The sequence below is a fragment of the Homo sapiens genome, chromosome 15 (genome assembly GCF_000001405.40).
Source record: "Homo sapiens chromosome 15, GRCh38.p14 Primary Assembly".
Lineage (NCBI taxonomy): Eukaryota > Metazoa > Chordata > Mammalia > Primates > Hominidae > Homo > Homo sapiens.
The window spans coordinates 50318275-50330797 of NC_000015.10; the positions used below are offsets into that span (position 1 = coordinate 50318275).

The 12523-nt window shown below is 41.4% G+C and overlaps 1 protein-coding gene across 14 annotated transcripts in view; it reads right to left on the minus strand.

The window, feature by feature from the left end:
* The window catches only part of GABPB1 (GA binding protein transcription factor subunit beta 1), a 79810-nt gene that overhangs the window by 42886 nt on the left and 24401 nt on the right, over window positions 1-12523 (minus strand). The window contains exon 1 of one of the 14 annotated variants that reach the window (XM_047432337.1): window positions 9095-9330. The exons of 11 other annotated variants lie outside the window; for them this stretch is intronic. In XM_047432337.1, coding sequence (XP_047288293.1) covers window positions 9095-9103 — 9 coding nt within the window. In that variant the 5' untranslated portion in view covers window positions 9104-9330. 2 more of the 14 variants (XM_005254274.5, XM_047432336.1) reach the window with 2 other exon arrangements.

Below are 12523 nucleotides of genomic sequence, written 5' to 3' on the forward strand. Positions count from 1 at the left end.
TGCTGGGATATAAAGGGCATGTCCTCCAAGGATTTAAGTTTAGTGTCTCCCAGTGTAATTCCTTTGAAACGAAAAATCATCACATGAACTCTGGTATATTTGGATTTTTTCCTCCATGCCCATTTTACCTAATGGAGTTTTTTTCCCCTTTATTTTTAAAATAAATGATATTTTCAAATATTATATCCATATATGTATCTCCCATATACCCCTTTTTCAGAAAACCACTAGATGACGTGTTCCACCAAAACCAAAAGTAAACTAGAAAGAATAATCAAGGGCTTCAGGAAATAAAGATCCAACATAGAATAGGAGAGAGTACCCAAAATGATGGTGAAGGGAGACCCCAAGACAACAGCTGTGACACAGACCTAGAAGGCAAACCCAGATGGGAGCCAGAGAACAGAGTTCCAGGAAGGAGGTCTCCAAGGAAAAGACAGGCTGGTAAGTCTCCTAAGAAGAGAATGAATGTCAGTGGAGAGTTTGGGATGCGTTAATGACGGATACAAGAAAACTAAGAAAAGAAAAAACTAGACTATTTTTCAGAAGGGAGAAAAAAACTATACCATAAAGGTATACATGTCTCTTGTACAGTTTTTCCTTTACACACACACACACAGAGATATGCACACGCATTTCCTTTGTGGTATAGGCGTGGATTAGCTAAGAATAATAGTTCCTGGGGTGTAATGTAAAGCAAAATTTTCAGTGTAATCCTATTGAAAAGATAAATGGTGAGGGAAAATATGCATAGGAATAGCTTAAAACAGCTGAAGCCTCATCTTCCTAAGTAGAAAGTCAAAAGGTATCTAATGTGGAAAAAAATCAAGAAATAGCACACATTTGTTATTTAGAAATATGAAGAGCTAATCATAAAATGGAGACCTCTGGGAAAGAGGGTTCTGGGGTGGGAAGAAATAACACAACTGAGTGTAGGATTTTCATAAGAAGGCTTATTTTTTTACTTTTTCAACTATGTGCACATATAATTTTTTCTTCCTTAAAAAAAGTTTTTATTTTTATAGATTCAGCAGGTACAGGTGCAGTTTGTTACACGTATATATTGCATCGTGGTGAAGTCTGGGCTTTCAATGTGTCCATCACCTGAATAGTGAACACTGTACCCAACAGGGAATTTTTCAACCCTTGCCCCTCTGCCACCCTCCCCGCTTTTGGACTCCCTAGTGTCTATTATCCCCCTCCGTATGTCCATGTATAACCACTGTTTAGCTCCCACGTATAAGTCAGAACTGTGCATGTATACTTTCATAAAAATTACAGGGCTGGGCACAGTGGCTCATGCCTATAATCCCAGCACTTTGGGAGGCTGAGGCGGGCAAATCACGAGGTCAGGAGTTCGAGACCAGCCTGGCCAACATGATGAAACCCCGTCTCTACTAAAAATACAAAAAATTATCTAGGCATAGTGGCAGGCGCCTGTAATCCCAGCTACTCGGGAAGCTGAGGCAGGAGAATCGTTTTGAACCCAGGAGGCAGAGGTTGCAGTGAGCCGAGATCACACCACTGCACTCCAGCCCAGGCGACAGAGTGAGACTCCGTCTCAAAAATAAATAAATAAATAAATAAAATCACAATAAACAAACACATGTTTACTGTACATAAGAATTATACAGTTTAAAGTCATCTCAACACATCCTTGTGTTCTCAGAAGTAACCACTATCTAAATGTTTAGTGTGCATCCTTCCAGATCTTTTCTATGCATATTAGAAACACATACACACAATGCTTACTTCTTTTTAAACAAAAACACACAAAGGGGTCAGGCGGGTGGGCAAAAATAAAAAATTAAAATTAAAAAACACACAAAAAGGGGATCATACTAAATTGTTTGGCAACTTGCCTTTTTCCCCATTCACAAGCAATCCTCTTTTTTTCATTTTACTTTTTTGAGATGGAGTTTCGCTCTTGTTGCCCAGGCTAGAGTGCAATAGCACAATCTTGGCTCACTGCAACCTCCGCCTCCCTGGTTCAAGCAATTCTTCTGCCTCAGCCTCCCAAGTAGCTGGGATTACAGGCATGCACCACCAGGCCCGGCTAATTTTTGCATTTTTAGTAGAGATGGGGTTTCGGCATTTTGGTCAGGCTGGTCTCAAACTCCTGACCTCAGGTGATCCACCTGCCTTGGCCTCCCAAAGTGCTGGGATTACAGGCGTGAGCCACCACTCAAAGGCAATCCTCTTGTTTTTTCAGTGAAATCTTCCTGTCTCTGTACACACAGTCTTTTTAGTGGCTGCACAGTACTATGGAGTGTGACAGGCTGAATAATGCTCCCCCAAAGATGTCTAGATACTAATTCTCAGATCCTGTGAATATGCTACCTTACATGGCAAAAGGAACTCTGCAGAAATGATTAAATTAAGGATCCTGACTAGGGTGGTTATCCTGGATTATCCAAGTATGATGTAATCACAAGACTTCTTATAAGAGGGAGACAGGAGGATCAGAATAGGAGATGTGACATTGGGAGCAGAAGGTCACAGTCAGGGAGAAGGAAGCAGAGATCAGAGAGAGAATGAGAGAGATTTGAAGATACTATGCTGTTGGCCTTAAAGATGGAGGAAGGGGTCACAGGTCAAGAAATGCATGCCTTCTTTAGAAGCTAGAAAAGGAAAGAAAACAGATTATCTCCTAAAGCTTCCAGAAGGAACAGTCCTGCCGAAATCCTAATTTTAGGTCTTCGGACTTCCAGAACTATAAAATAATAAATTTATGTTGTTTTAAGGCACTAAGGTTGTAGTAATTTGTTATAGCAAATAGGAAATTATTACACGATAGGAATAGGAAACAAATACACACAGTATACTAATTATATGATCCTGTTTTAATTTTTCACCTTTACAAATAGTGCTGCAATACACACGAGTTAGCATTGTTCTAGAAATTATGGTGAGAAGCAGGATTGCTAGACTTGTTTAAAATCACATTTTAGTTGTAATTAGACACTGCCAAATTATCTACCAAAAGATTGTAGCAACTTATACTCCCACTATCAGTGTACAAGAATAACTGCTTCTCCATAAGGTCTCCACTCCCCACAGAGAGAACCTTGATCTCAGAGCTAGATCTTCCAAAAGTCAAGACCACTTCCAGTGAAATCATACTCACAAAGCTGATGAAAAACTTCCTTCTAGGATAACTTTCTTTCAGTAACCATAACCTGAGGACATCCCACCACATAAGGAGAGAAAGACTTAAGAAGTAAAAGATGCGGCAACCCTTTTATCGCTTTTAAAGTCTGCATTAAAAGGGCATTCTGTTAGCCAGGCATGGTGGCTGGCACCTGTAGTCCCAGCTACTCAGGAGGCTGAGGCAGGAGAATCACTTGAACTCAGGAGGCAGAGGTTGCAGCGAGCCGAGATTCCGCCATTGCACTCCAGCCTGGGCAATAGAGCAAGACTCCGTCTCAGAAAAAAAAAAAAAAAGCTCAATAAATATTAATCCATTGAATGAACAATATTTGGCACACAGTAGAAACTCCAGAAATACTTGGAACCAAAATCGTCATAATGTTTGCCTTTTTTAAATGTAATCTAAATTTCACAAACCCTAGGAAATATCATAATAGAATGCTTACTGAATTCCTAAGTCAGCCTTGTTGTAACAAAATTTCTTATAACTAAACAAGGCTGGAACTTGCCTGGATATTATCTTTTTATTGGCAGCAACTCAAATTAACAGATGTGACCAAAAAAAAAAAAAAAATCTGAGGTCAATTCGGTTTTCTAGTCAAAAGAAAAAATTGTGAACATAATAAATGTAGATATTGGCTTTGTCTGAGACCCTCAGAATTACTCTTGGACCTGCCCAGTTAGCATAGAAAAATCTAGGCAGGAAGCCAGAACTTGTCTAATAACTAGCAATAATATTACAAAGCAAAATCAGCTCAGGACCACCCTCAATGACAGTAGATCAAATCAGTACACCAAACTGAGTTCAAAGGTTTCAAATGGGTATATTCTAAAACTGAGGTGTCCAGGCTGGGCACAGTGACTCATACCTGTAATCCCAGCCCTTTGGGAAGCCAATGCCAGAGGATAACTTGAGGTCAGGAGTTTAAGACCACCCTGGCCAACATGGTGAAAAATACAAAAAAAAAAAAATTAGCCGGGCATGGTGGTGCATGCCTGTAGTCCCAGCTACTCAGGAGGCTAAGGCAGGAGAATCACTTGAATCAAGGAGATGGAGGTTGCAGTGACCCAAGATTGCGCCACTGCACTCCAGCTTGGGTGACAGAGCAAGACTCCATCTCAAAAAAAAAGAACTGATGTGTCCAGTACAGTAACCACTAGTTATACAAGGATACTGGGCATTGAAATGTGGCTAGTCCAAATTGAGATGTGCTATAAATATAACATACCAGATTTTGAAGACTTGCTATCAAGAAGGAATGTAAAATATTTCATTAATAACTTTTATACTGATTACCTGTTGAAACAATATTTTGGAAGGGCCAGGCACGGTGGCTCATGCCTGTAATTCCAACACTTTGGGAGGCTGAGGCGGGTGGATTGCTTGAGACCAGGAGTTCAAGACCACCCTGGGCAACATGGCAAAACCTGGTCTCTACAAAAAATACAAAAAAATCAACCAAGCATGGTGGCACATGCCTGTAGTCCCAACTACTTCGGAGGCTAAGATGACAGAATAACCTGAGCCTAGGAAGTCAAGGCTACAGTGAGCCATGATCGCACCACTGCACTCCTGTCTGGGCAACAGGAGTGAGACCCTGTCTCCAAAAATAATCATAATATTTTGGATGTAAGGGATTAAACTCTATTACGAAAATTAATTTTGCTGGGCACAGTGGTGTGCACCTGCAGTACCAGCTACTTGGGAGGCTAAGGCAGGGAGGTCACTTGAACCTAGGAGTTTGAGACTGTACTGCACAGCGGCTACTAGAAATTTTTAAATTAAATCTGTGGCTGCAGGCACCACTGCAGAGGAATGGGAAGCTGCTACCCTAGGATCAGGCCCATGGGGGAAATGGGAAACCTTGGTACTGCAGTAGTTCCTGCTAGCCCATCATTTTTAGGAGCCATGACAACAAAACCAATCATAATTAATAGAATGCACTACTCTCACTACAGGCCCCAGAAGACAACATACATGCCCTTTATTTATCCCTGCCTAAGGGAAAGAAAAAAAACACGTGCAGAGGCAAGAAGTGGCTGAGGACCCAGAGTGAGGCAGGGAGAGGTCACTCAGCCTTTCTACGCCTCAGTTTACACACCTGTAAAATGAGAGTAATAGCACAACCTCTCTCACAGGGTTGTTCTGAGGATTAGAGGCAATTAGCCAGGCACAGTTGCTTCCAGTATTTGGGGAGGCTGAGGCAGGAGCATCCCTTGAGCCCAGAAGCTCAAGACCAGCCTGGGCAACACACAGAGAGATAGCACCTTTCCCTAAAATAAAATAAAAAATTAGCTGTATGTGGTCCTGTCTTCCTGTAGTCCCAGCTACAGCTACTCAGGAGGCTGGGGCGGGAGGATCGCTTAAGCCCAGAAGTTTGAGGCTTCAGTGAGCCATGACTGTGCCACTGCACTCCAGCCTGGGCAACAGAGTCAGATCCTGTCATTAATTAATTAATTCATAAATAAATAAATAAAATTTAAATTTAAAAAAATGGCTGGGTGTGGTGCTCATGCCTGTAATCCTAGCACTTTGGGAAGCCAAGATGGGTGGATTGCTCGAACCCTGGAGTTGGAGACCTGCCTAGGCAACATGGCAAAACTCTATCTCTACAAAAAATACATAAAAATTAGCTGGGCGGGTGGCACACACCTGTGGTCCCAGCTACTCAGAAGGCTGAGATGGGAGGATCACCTGAGCCCAGCGAGGTCAAGGCTGCAGTGAGCTGTGATTGCACCACTGCATTCCAGTCTAGACTACAGAATAAGACCTCATCTCAAAAAAAAAAAAAATTTTTTTTAATGAGTTCATTGATGGCAAGCGCCAGGCCAACAGTAAGTGCTCAATAAATCTGAGTTACTATTGTCTCCCACTGTTAACGACCTGCATTCGTTGAGTGCTGTGTGACCAAGCACCATCTCCCTACACACAGTCCTAGAGAGGGGCTGTACTGCCTATACTCACTTTACAGATGGGAAAACCAAGGTTTGGAAAAGTCACCTGACCAAGGTCCCAAAGCTAGTAGGTGAGAAATTCAGCCTCAAAGGTGGGCTCCCCTGGCTTTGAAGCCCCTCCAGTGATCCAATGCCCTGAATGCTCCCAATGTCTCCGTGGCTTTTTTTTTTTTTTTTTTTTTTGAGACAGAGTCTCACTCTGTCGCCCAGGCTGGAGTGCAGTGGGGCAATCTCGGCTCACTGCAACCTCCGCCTCCCGAGTTCAAGCAATTCCCCTGCCTCAGCCTCCCAAGTAGCTCGGATTACAGGCGCATGCCACCACGCCCAGCTAATTTTTTTGTATTTTTAGTAGAGATGGGGTTTCACCATGTTGGCTAGACTGGTCTCAAACTCCTGACCTCAGGCAATTCGCCCGCCTTGGCCTCCCAAAGTGCTAGGATTACAGGTGTGAGCCACCCCGCCTGGCCTCTGTAGTTCTTTCTATGGGCACAAGTTAAGGTTATAGTACTTGCTGTTAAGAAAATAAAGGAGGTTAGCTAGACCCAAGAATCTCTGGCTCCTTGGGGAGACTGTGGGATTATGAGTAGGTTGTTTCTTGTCTCCACTTTTTAGAGGGCTGGCCCCACCAGACATGCATAGCTCCCTGAAAATACCATGCCCAAGGAAGGTGTTCAGTAATGTGTGTTCCTTTCTGACTCTAAATGTCAGGTCCTTTCTAAGTAAATTTTGTGATTTAAAAAAGGTGAAGTCAGTACAGGATGAAATGTGCTTTGAGAGTGTCAGGATGAAATTGTTTCCATGAGGAAGAGGGACAAGTGTACCCCATGGTAAGTGGGCCTAGATCAAGACTTGGCCTCCAATAGTCAGTAACTACAAACTGGACAAATAATATTTTGAGGGCACTAAGGCAATATGATGTTATGCCAAAAAAAAAAAAAAAAAAGGCACGGCTAAAAGCCAGAAGTTGAGACCCCACCTCTGCCACAGATCAGCTGTGTGACCCAGGTGCAAATCTCGTCACTCCCTGTCTGGTTCTGTTTCTGCTGATGTAGAATGGAGCAATCAATGACAAAAAAAAAAAATCATCATCATCTGTGGTTCACTATATTTCTACTGGAGAGAGCTGTTCTAGAATCACTGGTCAAACTTTTTTTTTTGTTTTTTTTTCTTGAGATGGAGTCTCGCTCTGTCGCCCAAGCTGGAGTGCAGTGGCACGATCTTGGCTCACTGCAAGCTCCGCCTCCGGGGTTCACACCATTCTCCTGCCTCAGCCTCCTGAGTAGCTGGGATTACAGGTGCACACCAGCACGCCCAGCTAATTTTTTGTATTTTTAGTAGAGATGGGGTATCACCCTGTTAGCCAGGATGGTCTCGATCTCCTAACCTCGTGATCTGCCTGCCTCGGCCTCCCAAAGTGCTGGGATTACAGGCGTGAGCCACTGCGCCCGGCCTGGTCAAACTTCTTGAAGCCACTAACTTCAGAATATGCAAGAAGTCATAACATTTTAAAATAAGATATAAGGGTTTTTTTTGTTTTTTTTTTTTTAAGACAGAGTCTGGCTCTGTCGCCCAGGCTGGAGTGCAATGGCACGATCTCAGCTCACTGCAACCTCTGCCTCCCAGGTTCAAGCGATTCTCCTGCCTCAGCCTCTCAAGTAGCTGGGAATATAGGCGCCCACCACCACGCCCAGCTAATTTTGTATTTTTAGTAGAGGCAGCGTTTCACCATGTTGGCCAGGCTAGTCTCGAACCCCTGACATCAGGTGATCCACCCACCTCGGCCTCCCAAAGTGCCAAAAGGCATGAGCCACCATGCCTAGCCAAGTGGATTCTTTTAGAAAAACTTCATCTAGGCCAGACATGGTGGTTCATGCCCATAATCCCAGCATTTTGGAAAGCCAAGGTGGGAAGATCGTTCAAGCCCAGGAGTTTGAGACCAGACTGAACAACATGGTGAAACCCTAATCTCTCCAAAAATTTTTAAAAATTAGCCAAGAGCCAGGTATGGTGGCTCACGCCTGTAATCCCAGCACTTTGGGAGGCTGAGGTGGGTGGATCACCTGAGGTCAGGAGTTTGAGACCAGCCTGGCCAACATGGTGAAACCCCGTCTCTACTAAACAATAAAAAAACAATTAGCTGGGCATGGTGGCATGCGCCTATAGTCCCAGCTGCTGGGGAGGCTGAGGCAGGAGAATCGCTAGAACCCGGAAGGCAGAGGTTGCAGTGAGCTGAGACGGCGCCATTGCACTCCAGCCTGGGCAACAGAGTGAGACTCCGTCTCAAAAAAAAAAATGAAAAACAAAAATTAGCCAGGGTTGGTGGCATGCTCCTGTGGTCCAGCTACTCAGGACGCTGAGGTGGGAGGACTGCTTGAGCCTGGGAGGTCAAGGCTGCACTGAGCCATGATCACACTCCTACACGCCAGCCTAGGCAAAAGAGCAAGACCCCCGTCTTTAAAAAAAAAAAAGAAAGAAAGAAAAACTGCACATGATGAATTGCCCCTGTTATGGTGCTGAATACGCTTTCCTTCTAAAAACCATACGAGGAGACAGCCTTTATCCTTGTAAGATTTCACAAATTCATTTGACAATGAAGGGGGCCCATGGATTTTACTAAATCCTCCTCATCTTTGCCACTGACTATGCCTTTGCCCAATTCAACTACCAGTTGTTTTTAAATCACATGAATGTATCCCAGGAAAAAAATGGAGGCTTGAAAAGAGTGCAAGTAGAAGATAAAGAAAAGGCTTTTTAGAACTCTACTGGAATTAGCCAGTAGATGCCTTTGATTTAATCAGGGAAGTATAACTTACCTGCTTCCTACAAAATGAAGCCAATAAACTGCTGGTTCTTGTAAGTCACAAAAATGAACCATCAATATTCTGCTCAAAAAAAGAATGCATACATTCTGATCCTTTCTTCTCAGAAGTTCTCATACACATCCCCTCCTCTCTACTACCTCTGGTCTTACACACTCATTGCCTCATACCTTACACATCACAATGGTCTCTCAGCTGATTTAACTCTAGTTTCTCCATCCTGCTGCCAGGCAATCCCCCTAAAATACAATTGTATTCAATCAAACATTTCTATATTTGAACCTCTACATAGTACCTGCCCTTAAAGAATTCACCATCTGGTAGGGAAGACATACGTCTCATGATTCCCTTGTCCAAAATCCCCACCAATACAATCATTCTGAAGAACAATTTATCAACTTCTAGTAGAGTTTAAGATGGGATGACCGGGCGTGGTGGCTCATGCCTGTAATCCCAGCACTTTGGGAGGCCTAGGTGGGCAGATTGAGGTCAGGAGTTTGAGACTAGCCTGACCAACATGGAGAAACCCCATCTCTACTAAAAATACAAAATTAGCTGGGCGTGGTGGTGCATGCCTGTAATCCCAGCTACTTGGGAGGCTGAGGCAGGAGAATCGCTTGAACCCGGGAGGTGGAGGTTGCAGTGAGCCGAGATCGTGGCATTATACTCCAGTCTGGCAACAGAGCGAGACTCCATCTCAAAAGAAAAAAAAAAGATGCGCCTACTCTTTGACCTAGGGATTCCACTGCTAGCTACCCTATCTTGGTATACTCTTAAACACATAAACAAGGAAAGAAATATGTTTATAAAAACATTATTGTAACAGGAAAAAAAAAAGAAATTCCAAATAACCTAAGTGTCTATAAACGAAAAAATTAAATTTTCATTATACAAATTTTCAAATATAGAAAATATACATGCATATATATAATATATACTGTATATGTGTGTTTGTGTGTTTGATTATACACATACCTATATACCCATCATTGACATTCTAAATTAAAAGCTGGTCATCTTGCTTCATCCTATTCCTTTCTAAAAAAAAAAAAAATTGTACTTTACAGCTTACACATGTTGTATTTGGTTACTCTATCTCTAAATCAAGTTTATTCTAGGACACTTTCCCTTTCTCCCATCTACCTCTCCCGTTTTTCTCCCTCATGACATTGATTTGTTGAAAAGAATGGTCGGTTCATCTGTACCTCATACTGAGTTTTTTTTATTGCTTCCTCAAGATAGCATGTAATTTCTTGATCTTCCATATGTCTTACAAACTAAGTCTCTGAAGTTAATTAAAATTCGGATTTAATATTTTAGACAAAAAATGTCAATAGCAACATGCTTGATATTGAAGCACATCAGGAAGCACATCTTTTTTGGATCACTTTTAATGATACTAAGAATAATAGCTAGGTTAGTGATAGTCTAATCCTTCCAATGTAAAGTTATATTCTTTTAGCTTGAGGCCAACTAGAAATCTGTGGCATCATACTTTGGCTCCATGGGAATATCCAATTCCCAAACATTTTTGTCTGACAGTTTTAGCACCCATTAATGATCCTGGCCCAAATCAATTATTCATAACAGGTTGTAACAAATTGTCACTTTCAAATTCTTTATTTCCTTCTACATTACTTGGCATCCCTCACTAAATATAAAATGGTGCCCACTCAAAAGGCAGTTCAAATATATTATCGTTTTTCATTACCAATTTTCAGAGTAAAGAATAATAGCCACCTAGCCACCTCCATTTGTTCTATTTATTGTTATATAATCATTTTCTCAAGAAATTATTCTCCTTATTTCTTCTGATGTTCAAATTGTCCCAATTTTGGCCAAGGAGAGCCTTTTCGATTTGGCTTTTCCATCTTTGAAAGCTTTCTTGGTTTTGGCACAAGAATGTTCCAGGTTACGCATGTCCCCTGCTCCAGACCCAGAATCAGTCATTTCTTCAAGGAGTCCTGGATTCTTTCAAGTACAAGTATTTAAAGACCAAAATTAGGGTTTTAGAAGAGCTCACATCTACCAAGATGACAAAGTGTTTCTAGGTCCTCTCAGTGGACAGAGCTAAGGAACAAATTTATATGGATTGAATTAAGAAATGTATATTATAAATGATGAATTCATATTGACATTTATAATTCAGGTTCAAAATTATAGGTTTTGTGCTTAGCTTCTTTGATTTTATACTTGTATCTCTATTGATTCGTAATCATTCACATAAAGACTTACTGCCTTTATCCTACAATACATATCATATGGTGTCAAAATTAAAATACCAATATTACAACTAGCAATAAAATGAATAAAGGTGGGGGTTTTTTTGCAGTTCTTTTATCCTTAGCGTATATGCCATTTAGTATTAAGCTCCAAAGTCACCTGAAATAGTTTTTCTCCATGTATTTAAATAACTATTTTGATATAAACATGGATACCATTGTTCAAGTTTGTCTTCAATTTTAAGGATTTAAAAAAATTTACTATAATTTTTGAATGTGTATTTACATAATTCAAAAGTCAGAGCTAAATAATAAAAAGACACACTCAGAAATCACATTTCCATCCCTACTTCATGTATTTCCCATACCTTCTACCATAGGGTAACAATTTTATTAGTTTCTAATTTGTCTTTTAAGTGTTTCTCTTTGCAACATAAACAAATTTGCATATATTCATATTCTTATTCTCCACCCTTCCACTCTTACTTTTTTTTTTTTTCCCTGAAGGCAGGGTCTCATTCTGTCACCCAGGCTGGAATGCAGTGGCGTGATCATGGCTCACTGCAGCCTCGACCTCTCAGATTCAGGTGATCCTCCCACCTCAGCCTCCGAAGTAGCTGGGACTACAGGCACGCATCACCACACCTGACTAATTCTAATTTTTGGAGAGACGAGGTTTTGACATGTTGCCCAGGCTGGTCTCAAACTCCGGGGCTCAAGCAATCCTCCCACCTCAGCCTCCCAAAGTGCAGGGATTACAGGCATGAGTCACCATGCCCAGCCACCATTCCCTACTTCTCACACCAAAGGAACATACTAAACACACATTGTTCTGTACTTTGCTTTTTTTCCCATTTAATATATATCCTGGAAAATACTGCATAGAGATTTTTCTCATTCTGTTTTACAGCTGCATAGTACTCGGCTATGTGAAAATACCATTGTATACTTTTAATTAAAAAAAAACTAGTTATCTCTTACTCTAGCAATCACAAGATCTCACCTTGCAATTTGAGTCCCTCTATCAACTGCCTCACACATTTACTTCATCCATTTTTCTCTGAATATAGGGCCCTGACAGTCATCCGATTTTAAACAATTCTCCTTCCTCATCTCATACACACTTACCTTATTCCAGACCCAATTCTCCTTCCTCATCCCATACACACTTACCTTATTCCAGACCCAATGTCTCCCCTCATGCTATTTTCCCAGTTTAGAATGGTTACATCCTTTCTCTCCAAATGCTATACTTCAATCAAAGCCCATTTTTAAAAGATCTTTTCTCCAACAAAACTTTCTAAGATGAGCTCTTAAATTTCCTCAGCAATATATAGCATAATCTCTATGTTTCTCTTCATTCAACAAACAAATGTT